Source organism: Homo sapiens, chromosome 18 (genome assembly GCF_000001405.40).
Source record: "Homo sapiens chromosome 18, GRCh38.p14 Primary Assembly".
Classification (NCBI taxonomy): Eukaryota; Metazoa; Chordata; class Mammalia; order Primates; family Hominidae; genus Homo; species Homo sapiens.
Window position 1 is genome coordinate 12,487,159 of NC_000018.10, and position 20,306 is coordinate 12,507,464.

The window sequence follows — 20,306 nt, forward strand, 5'->3', positions numbered from 1 at the left end:
TAAGTTTTAAATTGCATGTTTCCTGAATATTACTTTTTCTATTTTATTATTAGTAATTGTTGTGAATCTCTTACTGAGCCTATTTTATAAAATAAACTTTTTCATAGGTATGCATGTAAAGGAAAAAACATAGTACATATAAAGTTTGGTACTATCCATGGTTTCAAGCATCCACTCGGGGTCTTGGCATATGTCTCCCCCTCAGATAAAAGAAGACTACCGTAATTATCATTTATTTTCTTTCTTTTTTTTTTTTTTTTGAGATGGAGTCTCACTCTATTGCCAGGCTGGAGTGCAGTGGCTGCAGTGGTGCAATCTCGGCTCACTACAACCTCTGCTTCCCAGGTTCAAGCAATCTCCCGAGTAGCTGGGATTACAGGTGCCTGCCACCAGGCCCAGCTAATTTTTGTATTTTTAGAGAGACAGGGTTTCACCATGTTGGCCAGGATGGTCTTGAACTCCTGACCTTGTGACCCGCCCGCCTCGGCCTCCCAAAGTGCTAGGATTACAGGCGTGAGCTACTGTGCCTGGCCTATCATTTCTTAAAAATGAAATTATTATTTATTTCCTGTTGAAGCACTCTGCTTTTACAATTTATGCATATAATAACCACTAAATTGTATACTTTAAATGAGTGAATTTTATGGTATATAAATGGCGTAAAGCTCAATAAAGCTGTTAAAAAGGTTATTGCAGAGATGTGATGATTTTAGGTATTCATGACAGCGAGGATTATCTATTTTCACTGCAGTCCAAAGCTCTTACCAGTACCTTTGCATCAAAGAGAAAACATCTTTCCTGTGACACAGGCTCAGCCTTCCTAGGATTGTTCAGAAACCAGCACATCAGACACTGATGCACAGGACTTCAGATATCCATTGGCCATTCTTCCCTTCCTCTCCAACAAAGCACAGTCTTCGTTTTCCATTCCAAAAACTAAATCTACCAGGACTTCCCATATTCTCCAAAACTGCTGAAGCCAAAGCAATGCCTCACTGAATATCGTTTGCCATATCCTTTCTTCTGTTCTTTTAAATCCTCTTCATATAAAGAGGGTAGAATAATTTGAGATGTTAATTATTTTTCCTTGTAATTTTTTTGTCACCCCATTTCACAAAGTTGGCCCCTTGGTGAAACTCTGTTGTCACCAAAGATAACCTTGCCTTCCTGGCTTTTGATTTCTGGAAGCCTGAGGTCCTGGTGGGGATTATGCCCAGTGGGGAGGGCCTTTGTGGTTGGAGACGGACACACTGCAGAGCAGCAGTAGCTTCGGAAGTACAGGCATATCAGGCACAATGTCTCTCTAGTTGCTGTTTTCCAGGGAGACAGCCTCTAGACTTCTAATACCCCAATTTAATGGAATGTAAATATGTCTCAGTGTGTATTTTAGCAGCTGGTTTTAAAGGAATAATTTTTATTTACAACCCAAAAGCTCAATATTAAAAAAAAATGACGTGAAGGAAAAGTACTTATTTACATCCCAAGCACACATTAGCAAGATGTCAGAATCATATGTAGATGTTTTTAGATATACACACGTCAATAAAGGGGATATGCATGTTAGATGTGGCAAATAAATCAACTATTATTTAACAATCATACTTACTGTTCAAGGACTGGGAAATAATATTTTAAGTATTTTCATCCTAATGTATAGTATGTTTTAAACAGGCATTTTACTGTGTTTTAATTATCTCATAGGAAATTGATTAGGGATTTTGTGTTGATAAGAATAATCTTCCTTGGGTCAGGCGCGGTGGCTCACGCCTGTAATCCCAGCACTTTCGGAGGCCGAGACGGGTGGATCATGAGGTCAGGAGATTGAGACCATCCTGGCTAACATGGTGAAACCCCGTCTCTACTAAAAAAAATACAAAAAATTAGCCGGGCTTGGTGGCGGGCTCCTGTAGTCCCAGCTACTCGGGAGGCTGAGGCAGGAGAATGGTGTCAACCTAGGAGGCGGAGCTTGCAATGAGCCAAGATCGCACCACTGCACTCCAGCCTGGGAGACAGTGCGAGACTCCGTCTCAAAAAAGAAAGAATAATCTTCCTTGAACTTATCTCGGAAAAGTTTTCTAAAAAGTAAAGAAAAAAAACATCTTCCACTCACCATTCAAAAAACCGTACTTCTAAACTCCTATATTACCTACTCTAGATTGTCCTAATTATGTATAGCAAATAAAGTATTACATATTATCACAGCACTCTTCCATCTTCTCTAATATCTTTTTATTCTGCTCTTTTTTTCTCTAGCACTTGAATATATCTTTTGAAATAAGGCTGACTACTGTGTTAAGAAGGGGATGCAATTATTTCTTGGGAGATGACATTTATATATTTTCCAATCTCTATATCAAAAAGAGGACAAAAATTGAGGATGTCAATTAAGATGTTTAGAAGAAAACAAATGATCAGAGACATGAACAAAGACTGATGTACAAGAATAGTAATTTCAGACTTACTAGGAAAAAATAGAAAAAGCTTGTGAATCAGGAAAATAGGTAAATAAAACCCAATTTAGCCATCTGTTAGGAGATCACATCCTTATAAATCGTATTTGGAGTCATATTTAATGACATAGGAAGATGGTCATGCCAAATAAACCATTAGATGCAGATAACAAAGTACTGTATATACACAGTTTTCATCCTCATTTTGTAATGCACAAGTAAATTCACAGTGGATGCCTCCGGCTGTTGTTATTATGGGTAACATTTTCATCTTTAAACATTCAGGCATTTTTGCCATTGCTGCATTGAGCTCCTACTTGCAATTACATGTAGGGGAAAGTGATACAAATATTTAGGGAAACTTTTCTTCAAGTTAATTCTGCCAATATTATCAGAACTGAACTCCCCAAAGCAAAACTGTATAGTAAGAACCAATGTAGTTCTGTAGAAAAAATGACCAAAATCCCTTACTTTACAATTAGGGTTTAATATCCATTTGAACTCGGAATTCTAGAAGTAACACTCTCACAGAACAATATCTTTCTGTAACAGCTCAATTCTGGTGGTTGTGAAATACCAATTGTCAAGGTTAAAATAAAGACATACTTAACATAAAAATGTTATTTAATTATTCTAAAGTAGGGTTCCCATTAGCAACTACATATAATTTTAAAAAGTGAAACTGAAGAATATGGCTTGCTATGAGAGATTGAATCACTCATCAAAAAGCTCCCCAACAAAGGCAGGTTCAGGACCAGATGGATTCACTGGTGAATTCTACCAAATATTGAAAGAAGAATTAATGCCAATCCCTCTCAAGCTCTTTCAAAACACTGAAGATGAGAGAACACTTCTAATTTTGTTTTACGAGGCCAAAACCCCCAAAATTACAGGCTAAAATCCTTAATGAATATAGATTCAAAATTCTGAACAAAATACTAGCAAACTGAATCCATCAGCACAATAAAAGGATCATACATCATGACCAAGTGGGATTCATCCCTGGGATGCAAGGACAGCTTAACACATGAAAATCAATTAACATGATACACCACCGTAACAGAATAAAGAATAAAAATCACATGATCATTTCAAATGCAGAGAAAGCATGTGACAAAATTCAACACCTTTTCAAAATAAAAACACTCAACAAATTAGGAATAGAAGGAAATTACCTCAACATAATAAAGGCCACATATGGAAAGCTGACAGCTAACATCATACTCAATAAGGGAAAACTGAAAGCTTTTCCTCCAAAATCAGGAACAAGGCAAGGATGACCACTTCTATATTCAACATAGTACTGGTAGTTCTAGCCAGAGCAGTTAGGCAAAAAAAGAAATAAAAGGCATCCAATTGGAAAGAAAGTAATAAAAGTGTCCCTGTTTGCAGATGACATGATCTTACAGATAGAAAACTCCATAAAAATTTTTTTCAATACACTAACAACAAAAAGACAATCCCATTGACAACAGCACCAAAAAGAATAAAATATCTAGGAGTAAATTTAATAAGGAGGTAAAAGACTTATATACAAAAACTATGAGACAGAAACAAATGGAAGAATAATATTCATGAATTGAAAGACTTACTGTTAACATGTGAATACTACCCAAAGCTATATACAGATCCAATAGAATCCCCAAGAAAATCCTAATGGTATTTTTTACAGAAGTAGAAGATAATCCTAAAATTCCTATGGAACCACAAAAGACAATGAATAGCCAATCAATCTTGAGAAAGAATAACAAAGCCAGAGACATCACACTTTCTGATCTTACAATATATTATAAAGTTACAATAACAAAAACAGCATGGTACTGGCAAACAACAGTGGAACAGAACAAAGAGTCCAGAAATGAACCCACACATATACAGTCAACTGATCTTTTTTTTTTCTTTCTTTCTTTCCATGGAATCTTGGTTCACCCAGGCTAGAGTGGAGTGGTGCAATCACAGCTCACTACAGCCTTGATCTCCTGGGCTCAAGTGATCCACTCTGAAGCTTTGTCACCAGAAAGTACATTTAATTATTTCAACCCATGAGAGTACTCTGTACAGCCCAGTGCTGTACTAGGGACACAACAACGAACAAGACAGACATGGGCCCTGTCATCACGAAGGTCACACAACAGAAGGGTCAGGATTAAACAAGGAAAATCAATATGGAATGGTGGAAGAATTCAAGACTGGAAGCAGGAGGACAATCAGTGCTGCTGCGACAGATGACAGCCTCGGCTGGGATAGTGGCTGCTGGGCTGAGAAGAGTAGAAGATTAAAAAGATCCAGAGGAAGTAAAATCAACAGGGGTTGGCCATCGGGTAAGAGTCAAAGATTATGTTAAGGTTTCTACATTGGGAAAACAAAATGCAATGGTTTGGGGAGAGACAGGATGAGTTCACTTGTGGAAATATTGGGTTTGTCTTGCTTGTAGGATATGATAAGGCTCTATCTAGCAGACAGCTGGACGTATGAGTCTGCATTTTTACAGATCTGCAATGTAGACTGTGAGCTGGAAGGTAGTCAGAAACAAAAACCATGGAAGAGGGTATGGTTGCTTAGGGAGAACAGAAGCCAGGATAGAAACTTTGAAGTCCAAGAGTCTGAAAAAGGCAGAAGAAGAGATCAGAGGAGAAAACTAGCAGAGTGGGGGTCACAAAACCAGATCCTTTCCTGTTAAGGTACCACTATAGACCGTTTTCGTAAAGGCAGTTTCTCTGGATTCTTTGGGCATTTTTAGTCTTACAAACTGAAAGACAGTCGTATAAATAAAAATGTTTACAGACATCTTATAATATGGCCTTCCTATAAATCAAAATCAATATGTGCTTGTAGTATACACTAAAAAATAAAAAATAATAACTGTAAAGGAAGTTTAGAAATAAGTTAAGTAATATCCGGTAATAACATGCTTTCATGACATAATATTACGGGTATCTTTAAACCCATAATAAACAAACATAAGGTAAAACTGTACATCTATCATCTATATTTTTAAAATATAATACGTTATCTTTGTATATGCAATACAATTTATAAAGTATTTTTTTACCATAATCCTATTTAATTCTTACATAAAACTCATAATGTAGGTTAAGAGGAACTTTTATCCCCCTTCTGCCAATGAAGAAAATGATGCTCAGAGAGGTAAAGAGACTTTCCTAAAACCTCAGCCTAGAGACTGGCAGAGCTCTTTCAATTACGGCACGATGTTCTCATATAGTTCAGTATTAGATAGGCGGAAGGATTTCCCACCCTATAAATTTCAAGTAAGTGTGAGGGGGTATGTATATGAGAGAGTGAGAGGGGGTATGTATACGAGAGAGTGAGAGGGAGAACAAGTGAGTGAGATACAGAGAAATGAACAAGGAATGAGAACTCTTTACTTTCATGGGGCTGGGTGTATAAAGATCCTTTTCCCAGGGGATGACTCTAGACTGAGTACAGGAAGCAGTGGACTCACCTAATCTGCTACGTCTAATCTCCTCTGGTGATACAGGCCGCAGCTTTCTTTCTGCTTTAATTTCTTCTAATATTCTTTCATGGAGGCTCCGTGGCCGTGGTGGAGTTGGTTTCAGTTTTCTGGCTGAGACCTTGAAAGTAAGAAAAATGGCTAAAGACTTCAGTAATTAAGTAATTTTTACTGAAGTCTAGTCATACAGTACAGTATTATAAATTACATTTCATTGACTGGAACACTGCTTGATAAAAGATTACTTTCAAGTCATTAAATATTAAGGTTCCTAAAGCAATAGGGAGATTACTGGATATCAGAGTGATTTGGTTATACATTCTCAAATTGTATTTTATTGCTTACAGGAGGGGTCTCACTCTGTTGCCCAGGCTGGAGTGCAGTGGTGCAATCTCAGCTCACTGCAACCTCTGCCTCCCGGGTTCAAGCGATTCTCGTGCCTCAGCCTCCCGAGTAGCTGGGATTACAGGCGTGTGCCAACATGCCTGGCTAATTTTTGTATTTTTAGTAGAGATGGGGTTTCACCAAGTTGGTCAGGCTGGTCTCGATCTCCTGATCTCAAGTGATCCACCCTCCTCAGTCTCCCAAAGTGCTGGGATTACAGGCATGAGCCGCTGCACCTGGCTACACTTTGAATGTCTAAGCTCAAGGGGTCCTTCTGCCTGAGCCTCCCAAGTGGTTGGGATTCCAGGCGCATGCCACTGAGCCTGGCTTGCTCAACTAATTTTAAGCAGTTATAATTATGTTCCCTATATGCTAGCGTGATAGGTAATCAGTTGCAATGCAGGTTATTACTACTGTTCTTTTTTTTGTGTTTTTGTTTTGTTTTGTTTTTTGTTTTTGAGACAGGGTCTTGCTCTGTCACCCAGGCTGGAGTGCAGTGGCACGATCATGGCTCACTGTGGTCTTGACCTCCTGTGCTGAAGTGATCCGTCTACCTCAGCCTCCTGAGTAGCTGGGACAACAAGTGTATGCCACTGCACACGGCTAATTTTTTTTTCTTTAATTTCTTTGTAGAGAGAGGGTCTCTCTATGTTGCCCAGGCTGGTTTTGAATTCCCGGGCCCAAGCAATCTTCCCATCCTGGCCTTCCAAAGTGTGGGGATTACAGGTGTGAGCCACCTCCCAAGTGCTGTGAACACCCCGCTCTACTGTTTTTAAAACTAACATTTTTTAGTAACCACCCATAACCTTCTTAGATTGTTATTATCTTCATTTTATAATTGAGGAAATAAAGGCTCTGGGAGGCTGATTAGCTCCCTCAGAGATACGTGGCTGCTAAATTGTGGAGCCAGTGTTCAAGTCCAGGTTCACATGGTCCATGCTCCTTCTGTTCTACCATGACCTACCATCCTACCATGACCACTCTGGCCTGGGAGACACAGTGAGACTGTGTCTCAGAAACAAAAATAATATAATTTACAGCTGGGCTTCATCTTCAGAGTAAAAAGCTCAGAGAAAAAACCTCGGCCGGGCACGGTGGCTCACGCCTGTAATCCCAGCACTTTGGGAGGCCGAGGTGGGCGGATCACGAGGTCAGGAAATCAAGATCATCCTGGCTAACACGGTGAAACCCCGTCTCTACTAAAAAAAAAAAAATACAAAAAAAATTAGCCGGGCATGGTGGCAGGCGCCTGTAGTCCCAGCTACTTGGTAGGCTGAGGCAGGAGAATGGTGTGAACCCGGGAGGTGGAGCTTGCAGTGAGCCGAGATCGCGCCACTGCACTCCAGCCTGGGCGACAGAGTGAGACTCCATCTCAAAAAAAAAAAAAAAAAAATACAAAAAAAAACAAACCCATCTCTACTGAAAATACAAAAAAATTAGCCAGGCGTGGTGGCAGGTGCCTGTAGTCCCAGCTACTCGGGAGGCTGAGGCAGGAGAATGGCGTGAACCCAGGAGGCGGAGCTTGCAGTGAGCCGAGATTGCATCACCGCACTCCAGCCTGGGCGACAAAGTGAGACTCTGTCTCAAAAAAAAAAAAAAAAAACCCTCCTAGGTAGCCCTCTTTGCCTTCTTTAAAAAAGATTTATAAAAAGGATCATTAATTATGCTTTAGTTGTATACAAACTGAGAAATACTATTCACTTTCTAGTTACTTTATGTACACTGTTTTGAGAGGCTTTGGTGAGCACTGGCTATTGAGCCGGGTAAAAAAGAAATAAGGAACAGAAGAAACACAAACCAATGTTCCAACAGATTAGAATATTCTGAGTCTATGGTTGCTAGAAAGAACTCTGTTAACAGAGGAACATGATAATTAACATAGAAATGGATGTACAGCAGGTGGATTTATTATAAAATATGTCAATATGACAATTTAATCAAGGAGGGGTAGGTTGCATCCTATAGTAAACTGGAAGGACAATCCATAACAGGACTATCCAGTAATATATTTAGCTGTTATCTAGGAGGTATATGACCAGATTTTGCACCATGACCCAGGTTGTTTTGAGTAAAAGTATCCTAAGACAGCCTTGTATTAAATAATTTTAAGATTTTTCAGTGACTTAAGAATATAATTTACAAGGCCAGCTGTAGTGGCTCATGTCTGTAATCCCAACACTTCAGGAGGCTGAAGTGGGAGGACTGCTTGAGGCCAGGAGTTTGAGACCAGCGTGGGCAACATGGCAAAACCACATCTCCACAAAAAATTTAAAAAGTTAGCCTGGGCATGGTGGTGCACACCTGTGGTCCCAGCTACTTGGGAGGCTGAGGTGGGAGGATCACTTGAGTCCCAGGGGTCACTCCAGCCTGGGTGACACAGTGAAACTCTGTCTTAAAAACAAAAAATATAATTTACAGCTGGGCTTCATCTTCAGAGTAAAAAGCTCAGAGGAAAAACCACCTAGGAAAGCTGAGTTCTAGAGATGACACCCTAGAGTAGAATAATTCATTATGATATCTCCAATCTAGAGAACTATGTCGAATTACATACTGGATTTAAAGGAGGTCTGGATCTGATGAAGTCGAGGATGATTTCATGAGCACTCTTTTTTAACCGAGGGGGAATATCACCATTCACCTAAAAGGAGACAAAAAGCAGAAGATTCATGTGACTATATAAGACTATCATGAATTTCTGGGTATAGCTGTTATCTCAAATATGCCATAAAATTAGTGAAGTGTAATTACCAAGGATACATTTCAAATCAATAAAGTGGGGAGTAAATGGCTGAGTGATTCAGAGGAAAGACTGTGAAATTGAAGAAAATCCAAGTTTACTTTAATTCTATCACTTTGTGAAATTTCAACAAAAAGTTTCTAAAATTATGAATGTAAATGGAATAAATAATACTTGAACTTATTCAGTATTTTATGATTTAAAAAACTTTTTACCTCTTATTTTCCTCCTTGTAAAAAAAACCTAGGTAGGCCGGGAGCAGTGGCTCACGCATGTAATCCCAGCACTTTGGGAGGCCGAGGCAGGCGGAACCCCTGAGGTAGGGAGTTAGAGACCAGCCTGGCCAACATGGTGAAACCCTGTCTCTACTAAAAATACAAAAATTAGGCTGGGTGTGGTGGCTCACGTCTGTAATCCCAGCACTTCGGGAGGCCGAGACGGGCTGATCACAAGGTCAGGAGATCGAGACCATCTTGGCTAACACGGTGAAACCCTGTCTCTACTAAAAATACAAAAAATTAGCCGGGCGTGGTGGCGGGCACCTGTAGTCCCAGCTACTCAGGAGGCTGAGGCAGGAGAATGGCATGAACCCAGGAGGCGGAGCTTGCAGTGAGCTGAGATCACATCACTGCACTCCAGTCTGGGTGACAAAGCAAGACTCCGTCTCAAAAAAAAGAAAAATAAATAAATAAAAATAAAAATACAAAAATACAAAAATTAGCCAGGCATGGCAGCAGGCGCCTGTAATTCCAGCTACTTGGGAAGCTGAGGCAGGAGACTCGCTTGAACCTAGGAGGAGGAGGTTGCAGTGAGCCGAGATCACGCTACTGCACTCCAGCCTAGGCAACAGAGCAAGACTCTGTCGCAAAACAACAACAACAACAAAACAAACAACAACAAAAAAACCCCACAAAAACCTAGGTAATAGAAAAAAACCAGGGATAAGATTCACATTTTGTAAATAAAACTAAAGCACAGAGCAGAGGATATCTGCCTCCATCCACAAAACTTTTAAGTAGAAGAGCTATTGTGGAGGACCAGTCTGTCTCTGATTCTACTCTAATGTCCTCTCTTTTTAATGCAATGTGTTAAAAACAATTTTTTTTAGAAATTTTTTTTTTAAACCCAGAAAACCACAAGAAGCAACAACTTAAATTCCCATTCTGACCACTTAGAAGGCACAGTCATGACCAGTTTGTCCTGTTTGTTTCCTGGTCTTGTTTGACAAAATAGAACCTCAATGGCCACTCCTATGCCCTGTCCCTTCCCCAGACGTGACCACATATTGAGTTCAGAGTGTGTGGCAAGCCTGCTGGGGCCTACTCAACATCCACTCTCCTCTTCCTCCCTATGCTAGTCCTCCCTCTCCCCCAGTCCTGAATGAGGGCAGGATGGCCCAGAGCAAGCTTCAGGAATAACTGCTGCTGCTTGAGCCAAGCCAGGCATATGACTGCTAGTTTAAGGAGGGTGATCGAGAAGCAGAACCAGTGGCCTAACCTGGCACCACCCACTACTTGTGGATTTCATATTATGTAGATTAAAAAAAACCTTATTTCATAAAACAGTTTAATCAGACTTTTCTATTACTCACTAGTCTACTACTGAATAACATGTATCTTTCTGGCTAATTTTCACATGCTTTCTTTGTATCCTAAGAGCAGGAATGAGAATGGATTAACTGAGGCCAACCCTATACGTTCCATTCCCAAAACAAGCACATTAACTGTAGTCTCCTCAGTAGTCAGAAGCTGTATCCTGGGTCCCAATTACAGATGTGGGACAATGCTCCTGAGGGAGGCAGCAGGCCATTATGGACCTAAGTCAGTACGGGTGGAGGAAGCTCCCTTATCCAAATGCTTGGGACTAGAGTGTTTCAGATTTTTCAATATTTACATTATACTTATCAAAAAATCTGAAATGTTCCAATGAGAATGTCTTTTGAGTATCATACTGGCCCTCAAAAAGTTTGCTGGAGCACTTCAGATGTCCAGGTTTGTGACGCTAAACCTGTATAAGGATAAGTGGTTGTGTGAAAACCATTTTGCTGCTGGGTCAGTTAAATTATTTTCCTGTAAGTAAACAAGCTCTCTGAAGCAAAATGAGAAATGATTCCTGGATGAACACAAATAGTAGATGCTTAAATAAATAAGATCAGTTATAGAAATTTGGTATTATTTTTGAGCAACAATGCCTTAAACAAGCAAAAAACTTTTTTGTATTTTACTTAGTAGAGATGGGGTTTCACCATGTTGGCCAGGCTGGTCTTGAACTCCTGACCTCAGGTGATCCGTCCACCTCGGCCTCCTAAAGTGCTGGGATTTCAGGTGTGAGTCTGGGCGCCCGGCCCAACAAAAAACTTCTAACACATAAAATGATCTCCTCTGAAAAATTTAAAACGTCTACCCTGTACTCAATCTTGTTTCTGAAATAATTTTCTTTTTTTGCGACACGGGCTTGTTCTATGACCCAGGTTGGAGTGCAGTGGCGTGATCACAGCTCACTGCCGTCTTGACCTCCCAGGCTCAAGCGATCCCTCCACCTCAGCCTCCTGAGTAGCTGGGACTACAGGTGTGAACCACCATCCCCAGCTAGTTTTTAATTTTTTGTAGAATTGGGGGTCTATGTTGCCTAGGCTGGTCTTGAATGTTCAGACTCAAGCGATCCTAGCACTTGGCCTTCCAGTGTTGGGATTACAGGTGTAATCCCAACTGCACCCTGCCCATTTATTTATTTATTTATTTTTATGGAGATGGGGTCTCACTAAGTTGCCCAGGCTACTCTCAAACTCCTGGGCTCAAGCAATCTTCCTGCCTTGGCCTCCCACAAAGGGTTGGATTGCAGGCATGAGCCACTGTGTCTGGCCTTTTATTTTTATCTTAAATAAAACAGAACCATTAATGATGACATAAGACCACAGCTAATAATCTACAAAACCAAGTTATAGTTTAGTGACTGATATTGGTCCCCTAATGAAATTTCAAGAAGTGTGAGGTTAGGGCCAAACATCCTTCTTTGCATGTTGATACCTAGTTGTCCCAATATCAATTGGTGAAGAGACCTATTCTTTCTCTATTTAATGGTCTCGGCACCCTTGTTGTAAATGGATTGAACATAGGTGTATGAGTTTGTTTTTGTACTCTGAATTCTGTTTTTTATATCCTACACTGTTTTGACTACTAAATCTTTGTTGTAAGTTGTAAAATGGGGATGTGTGAGTCCACCAACTTTTTCTTTTTCAAGATTATTTTGATTATTTGGGATTCCTTGAGATTCCGTAAGAATTTCAGAATCGATTTTTCCATTTCTGCCAAAAAAAAAAAAGTCACTGGAATTCTGACAGAGAATAATGTTTGACCCTTACCTTGCACCATATATATAAATTAACTAAAAAAACTGATCAAAGACTTAAATATAAGAGCTAAAACTATTTATAAGTGTCTCAGGTGAGAACATAAGGGAAAATCTTCATGAACTGGATTTGGTAATGAATTCCTAGATATGACACCAAAATCACAAGCAACAGAAGGAAAAATAGATAAATTGTATTTCAGCAAAATTAAAACCTTTTGTGCATCAAAGGACACTATCAAGAGAGTGAAAAGACAGTCTGCAGAATGGGTGTTTTTCTATACTTGCAAATTATCTATCTGTCAGGGGTCCACCATCCAGAATATATAAAGAACTCTTGCAACTTAACAGCAGAAATACAAACAATCCAATTAAAAAATGAGTACAACACAGCCATAAAAAAAGAATGAAATCATGTCCTTTGCAGCAACATGGATGGAGCTGGAGGCCATTATCCTAAGTGAGCTAACTCAGAAACAGAAAACCAAATACTGCATGTTCTCACTTATAAGTGGAAGCTAATAATGGGTACACATGGACGCAAAGATGGAAATAGTAGACACTGGAGAACTCCAAAAGTGGGGAGGTTGGGAGGGGGGTCAGGGTTGAAAAGTTACCTATCAGGTACAATGTTCACTATTTAAGTGATAGGTACGCTAGAAACCCAGTCTCTACCAGCATGCAATATACCTATGTAACAAACAGGCACATGCACACCCGCATCTAAATTAAAATGTAAAAAAATGAATACAAAATCTGAACAGACATTTCTCCAAAGATATACAAATGGTTCACAAGCACATGAAAACATATATGACATTGTGAATCATCAGGGAAATGCAAATCAAAACCACAATGAGACATCATATCACACTGTTAGGGGAGTTACAATTAAAAACAAAATGAACAACAGCAAGTGTTGGCAAGGATGGGAGAAACTGGGCCCCTCATACATTGCTGGTGGGAATATTAATTGGTGCAATTGCTGTGGAACACGGTTTGGTAGTTTCTCAATAAGCCAAACATAGAATTACTATATGATCCAGCCACTCCACTCCCAGGTATATACCCCAAATAACTGAAAACAGGTATTCAAACAAAAATGCGTACACTACTATACACTGCAGCACTACTCATGCTAGCGAAAATGAAAGAATCCAATTGGAAAGAACCCAAATGTCCATTTGGGTCATGAATAAACAAAATATATCTGTATAGCCATAAGAAGAAGTAAAGTAGCTCGCTGGACACAGTGGCTCACGCCTGTAATCCCAGCACTCTGGGAGGCCAAGGAGGGCAGATCACCTGAGGTCAGGAGTTCGAGACCAGCCTGACCAACATGGAGAAACCCTGTCTCTACTAAAAATACAAAATTAGCTGGGTGTGGTGGTGCATGCCTGTAAACCCAGCTACTTGGGAGGTGGAGGCAGGAGAATGGCTTGAACCCTGGAGGCGGAGGTTGCAGCGAGCCGAGATCACGCCATTGCACTCCATCCGGGGCAACAACAGTGAAACTCTGTCTCAAAAAAAAAAAAAAAAAAAAAAAGAAAAAAAAAAAGAAGGAGCAAAGTACCTCAGCATGCTACAATATGAATGAACCTTGAAACATTATGCTAAGTCAAAGCCAGACACCAAAGGTCATATATGATGAGGCAATATGCATGAAATATCCAGAATAGGTAAGTTCACGGAGACAGAAAGCATATTTGTGGTTACCAGGGGATAAGGGGAGAGAAGAATGGGAGTGATGCTTCATGGATACAGGGTTTATATAATAAATGGGTACATGGGTATATATAATAAAAAAGAAAACTGGAAGAAAAAAGTCAGACTTTTTTTGTTTGTTTGTTTTTGAGACAGAGTCTCGCTCTGCCGTCACGCTGGAGTACCAGTGGCGCGATCTCAGCTAACTGCGACTGCGCCTCCCGAGTTCAAGCAATTCTCCTACCTCAGCCTCCCGAGTGGCTGGGACTACAGGCACATGCCACCACACCCAGCTAATTTTTGTAGTTTTAATAGAGACGGGGTTTGACCATGGTGGCCAGGATGGTCTCAATCTCTTGACCTTGTGTTCCGCACGCCTCGGCCTCCCAAAGTGTTGGGATTACAGGCATGAGCCATGGCGCCTGGCCCAGGTGTGGTGGCTCATGCCTATAATCCTAGCACTTTGGAAGGCGGAGGTGAGAGGACTGCTTGAGCCCAGGAGTTCAAGACCAGCCTGGGCAACATAGCAAGAACCTGCCTCTACAAAAAATTAAAAGGAATTGCCATATGTGGTGGTGCACACTTGTAGTCCCAGCTACTCAGGAGGCTGAGATGGGTGGATTGCTTGAGCTGGGGAGGTTAAGACTGTGGTGAGCCGTGATCATGCCACTGCACTCCAGCCCAGGCGACAGAGCAAGACCCTGTGTCAATCAATCAATAAATGTCTTTTATTTACCACAGGAGAAACGTAATTATTTATGCTAGCAAACATTTTCCATTTTGGATGCACAGTTCTTTGTCATTCTATCACACACCATTACTTCCCTAAGCCTCATCTAGGGTGCTTATAACATACAGATTCCTAGACTCTAGCTGAGGACTGTTAAATCAGCAACTTCGAAAGGAACCTATAATTCTTAGTATCAAACAGGTTGACTACTATTTAGCACAATTATTTTTTCTGATAAAAAGAGAAAGGTTCTTGCAGTGTAAAACTCTGCTAAAAACTAAGAAAAACAAAAAACAAAAAAGATTTAGCAATATCAAAGATGACAGTTAAAATACATTAATGATAAATCAAATAGAAATGTTAATTATCTACTAAGACTTATTTTAACACTGATATGAATTTTTGAATAATTCCTTCTGGATAAGGAGGAAAATCACCTAAGATTAACATTAAGTGCTCCCCCAATCAGAAAGGACAAAGTTCAAATAAGTACACATTTTTGAGAAAGATAACATTACCCAGTATTGGCAATAGGAACGGTCTTGCAAAACTAGTAAAAATGTAAATTCGTACAACCCTTCTGGAGAGAACTCTTGCAAAATATTAAGTACTAAAATTTAAAATATACATTATAAAAGAAGCAATAAAATGTGCATTATATTGATCTATTCATCTCACCAATAAAAATTTAAACCATGGGGATAATTGGGTAAGATGTTTGCATTTGGATGTTCATCATAATATGGATTAAAACAATGAAAACTGGAAACCATCAAATATCTATTAATAGGGGGCTGGGTACACAAGCCACGGCACACACATACAAGGAAATACCCCATGTGGGTGGGGTGCGGTGGCTCATGCTTGTAATCCCAGCAGTTTGGGAGGCTGAGATGGGTGGATCACCTGAGGTTAGGAGTTCGAGACCAGCGTGGCTAACCTGATGAAACCACATCTCTACTAAAAATACAAAAAAGTAGCTGGGCGTGGTGGCAGGCACCTGTAATCCCAGCTACTTGGGAGGCTGAGGCAGGAGAATGGCGTGAACCCGGGAGGCGGAGCTTGCAGTGGGCCGAGATTACGCCACGGTACTCCAGCCTGGGCAACAGAGTGAGACTCTGTCTCAAAAAAAAAGAAAAAAAAAAAAAGGAAATACCCTGTGTGTTCCTCCAGATGCTATCAATCTTTCATCTTCTTTTAAACATTCTTAAAAGAAACTCATACTGTTTGCTCACTGTCACTACTGCCTCACCTACTACCATAAAATCTGGTTTCTCTCTTTTACTTTAATAAAAGGATCAAATAATTTCCATGTTGCTAAATCTGTTAACCATTTCACAGCGCGCATCCGACCTCTCTGAAACACTGCCTGCTCTTTGCAGCTGTGCCTCCATTTCCCCTGACTTTCCAGCCTTCTCTCTGGCTATGCCTTGTCCGTCTTTATTTTGCCAGATTCCTCTACTCATCCTTCAGCGCCGAGGCTGCACGGGTTCGGTCCTGAGTTGTCTTTTCTTCTCACCTTTCCAGTTTCCTGCATTCTGTTCTATCCTCTAATGATGGCGAGTTGTTTTTGTTGTTCTCATGTGTCAGATCCCATTGCTGCTTGATCTTTGGATATGTTGGGTTTTTTTCCCCCTACTTAGCTGCTTCCCTACAGGTTATCAGTGGCTGCCAAAATACTGGAAGCTTTGAGAGAACAGAGACTGTAATACGTCCTTCCAGAGTCAGAATAAGGTCTAGCACATAGAAAGTCCTTAACACATATATGTTAAATTAAAATAAAATTAAGAAATACAAACAGCTAGCACAGATTTTTAAATGTTTAAAAGCATGAAATAAATGTAGATGTTAAAAATGAAAGAATATTTTCTTTCAGTTAAAATGGTCAACCCCAAAAGACACCCAGTTTGTGCAAGGATGTGAAGCAATGGACAAAACTATTCTGTTATAAATAATCATCATCACAGTATTTCTGAGGGCAACTAGGGAATATGTACATAGCACAGAGCACTGGGGTCAGAGAGAATGAGGCTGACCCTCAGCTCTGCCTTGTAACCAGCTGTCTGAACTTGGGAAGTTACTACTGAGCATCTTTAAATTTCAGTTTCCTCATCTGTAAAGTAAATCAGATTTGATGAAAAGTAAATAAATATAATATTTAGTTGAAATGTTTAGCTTATTAAAATTAACAAGCAGCTCAAATAGCCACTTAAACCAATTTACTATAAAACCAAGTGACGTGGCTGGGCATGGTGGCTCACGCCTGTAATCCTAGCACTTTGGGAGGCTGAGGTGGGCAGATCACCTAAGGTCAGGAGTTCGAGACCAGCCTGGGCAACATGGTGAAGCCCTGTCTCTACTAAAAATACAAAAATTAGCCAGGCGTGGTGGCATGCGCCTGTAATCCTAGCTACTTGGGAGGCTGAGGCACGAGAATCACTTGAACCTGGGAGGTGGAGGTTGCAGTGAGCCAAGATCACGCCACTGCACTTCAGCCTCGGCAAAAAGAGTGAGACTCTGTCTCAAAAATGAAAAACAAAAAACCAAGTGATGTTTCATAAGAACCTTCTAACATAAAATAACTTTGATTAAATTTCCTCAAAAATGTGGATAGAATTCATTAATCCATCCTATAACTATTTAGTGAGCACAGTATTCAGTATTTGGTTGCATGTCAGGCCCATGTTCTTGTCAAAGGGGATAAACAGTGAAAATAACTAAGTTATTGTCTTTGTAAGGGAGACAGACAATAAATCCGGAAATACACTGCAATGTCAGCTAGTGAAACACGAGAGTAAAGAGATGGAGAAGACTTTTCTAATGTGGGAAAACTTGAGCACAGGCCTGAAAAGTAAAGAGGCAAATTATGTGGCTATGAGGGAGAGGAGAGCTCCTGAGAGAAGGAATATCCAAGGCAAAGGCTCTGTTACAGGATCACACTAGGCACTGCTGAGACACTGGCAGAGATCAGGGTGGCTAACAAGCAGAACCCTGCAGGGAAGCATAGCAGAAGATGAGGTCTGAGAGGTAACCTGGATCCAGCCGTGTGGGCTGTGCCGGCCACGGTAAGGACATGGAGTTTCTTCTGAGGGTGATGAAAAGCCAGTGGAAGGTTCTGAGTAGAGCAATGACATGATCATATTTTTTACTTAAGAGGCCTACTTGGTTGTTTTTGGGAAAAATAGATTGAAAGGGGCAGGGTGAAAGCAGGAAGGCCACTTAGAGGTTACTGTCATAGTCTGATGAGAGATGATGGTGGCTTGGAATAGAAGATATTTTGGCCAAGTGCCGTGGCTCATGCCTATAATCCCAGCACTTTGGGAGGCGGAGGCAGGTGGATCACTTGAGCTCTGTTAGGAATTAAAGACCAGCCTGGGCAACATGGCAAAACTCCATCTCTACAAAAAATACAAAAAACACTAGCTGGGCATGGTGGCGCACACCTGTGGTCCCAGATACTCAGGAGGCTGAGGTGGGAGGATCACTGGAACCTGGGAAGTCGAGGCTACAGTAGAGCTGTGATCATGCCATTGCACTTTAGCCTGGGTGACAGAGCAAGACCCTGTCTCAAAAAAAAAAAAAAACAAAAAAACTCTCAATTGGAGATGGAGAGAAGTGGTCAGAATCAGGATATATTTTAAAGGGAGAGCTGTCAGAATTTGCTAATGAACTAGATGTTCCGCATCTAGGAACTTAAGGATTTCATGGTGGACATTTAAAAAGATTTACATACAAGGATACACAAAATATGTTGCTTATAAAGGGACACAAGGTGATTTGTTTAATAAACTCCGGAATAGCCATAAGCTAGAAACGATATAGCCATTTAGAAATGATAATATTGAATATATAATGACATGGAAAAAATAATCATGATATGTTAAGCAAAACAACCAGTAATAAAACAAAGCATTCTATATTAACTCACTTTGACCAAATAAAGTGCATAGAAACAAGGCTAAAGGTTATTGATCAACATGTTAACAAAATTTCTCTCTGGGTTATGGAATTACATGTTTGTAACTTTCCTTCTTTAAGCTTAATGTACTTTCCAAATTTTCTACAATGATCAAGTATTACTTGTATAAAAATAAATAATTTTTAAAATTTAATATTAAAACTATTTTCAACAAATGCAATTATGGATGAATAACCATTTGAGTCCATTAATAGTTTTTTGTTTTTCTTTTTTGAGATAGGGTCTCACTCTGTCGCTGAGGCTGGAGTGCAGTGGCTCGATCTTGGGTCACTGCAACCTCCACCTCCTGGGTTCAAGCGATTCTTCTGCCTCAGCCTCCCGAGCAGCTGGAACTACAGGTGTGCACCACCACGCCCAACTAATTTTTGTATTTTTTGGTACAGACAGGGATTCACCATGTTGGTCAAGCTGGTCTTGAACTCCTGACCTCAGATGATCCACCTGCCTCGACCTCCCAAAGTGCTGGGATTACAGGAGTGAGCCACATGCCCGGCCTGACAGCTTGGTTACTTACCATCACTTTTCGCAAGGTGTATCTTTTGCAGCGAATGTCATCCATTAACATCTCATAAGGGGTGAGCTGATATTCAATGGGCAAAGGGTTGTACTGCCGCTCTTGGACCTTCTTAAGTTTTACCCCATTCCTCAAATCCCTCATCACCTGTACCCAGAATCGTGCCTGAAAGAACCAAGGATAGAGAGACATCAATGAATAAATGTACTAGTTTCTTCTAAACAGCTAGTCATACAGAATAAATGAAGAGCTTGGATTACAAAACAATGAGTAAACCAACAAAAAACTATTTTAAAAATTAGATTTTGGGTACTAAAAGATGGGTGGAAAGCAAGTAGAGAATCCACAGGCTCTACCTGCTGAGGCACATGGGTTTAAACCTAAGCTCCACCACTGTGGTAGGCTTCATTAAGGGCTCAGGTTCTTCATGCTTTCCTGTGTCTATGCCGTTATGTGACTCTGCTCACTAAAGGGGATTATATTTCCCACACCCTGACTTTGGGTTTGGCTATATGATTTGCTTGGCCACTGGAATAGTGGTGGGTGTGATAAGACCAAGGGCTTCAAAAGCATATGTACAATGGGCTTGTCCCTTGTGTTTCTATTATGGCCACGAAAATGTCAAGCCTGGGTTAGCCTGTGGTCCCGGGATAAAGATGAGATACCTGTAAAGTGGAGCTACCACAGGGGATCTGGAGACCCATGAGTTAGTAAGTGCTTTTGCTTTATGCGGCTGTGATTTTGTAGTGGTTAGTTACACGGTATTACTGTGACCACAGCTGACTGAGATAAGGCCACTTGCCAGCTATTTGACACGGAGCAAGTTGCTGCACCTTTCTGAGCTGTAGTTTCCTCATCAATAAAGAAAGTGGTACTTTATCACTTGTTGAGAAGATCAGAATCAGTAGATGGTGTTCTATACATAGAAAATACTAAAAAAGGCTGGGTGCAATGGGTCACACCTGTAATCCCAGCACTTTTGGAGGCC

General features: G+C 40.5%; 1 protein-coding gene across 14 annotated transcripts in view, besides 1 other annotated feature; it reads right to left on the minus strand.

The window, feature by feature from the left end:
• The window catches only part of SPIRE1 (spire type actin nucleation factor 1), a 215,580-nt gene that overhangs the window by 40,647 nt on the left and 154,627 nt on the right, over window positions 1-20,306 (minus strand). For all 14 annotated transcript variants that reach the window (NR_197429.1, NM_001394323.1, NM_020148.3 and 11 more), the window contains 3 exons: window positions 19,319-19,483; window positions 8,858-8,944; window positions 5,914-6,043 (listed from right to left, as the gene is read on the minus strand). Coding sequence is in view for 13 of the 14 variants with exons in the window: in NM_001394323.1 (NP_001381252.1) it covers window positions 5,914-6,043; window positions 8,858-8,944; window positions 19,319-19,483 (382 nt within the window). In the remaining variant the exon portion in view is untranslated. The remainder of the gene's footprint in view (window positions 1-5,913; window positions 6,044-8,857; window positions 8,945-19,318; window positions 19,484-20,306) is intronic.
• Window positions 7,281-7,480: a silencer, noted in NCBI's record as "fragment chr18:12494438-12494637 (GRCh37/hg19 assembly coordinates)". NCBI's record gives its function as "represses an EF-1alpha promoter that drives an FKBP-Casp9 reporter gene in an ReSE screen in K562 erythroleukemia cells {active_cell/tissue: K562}" and the evidence as "EXISTENCE:reporter gene assay evidence [ECO:0000049][PMID:32094911]".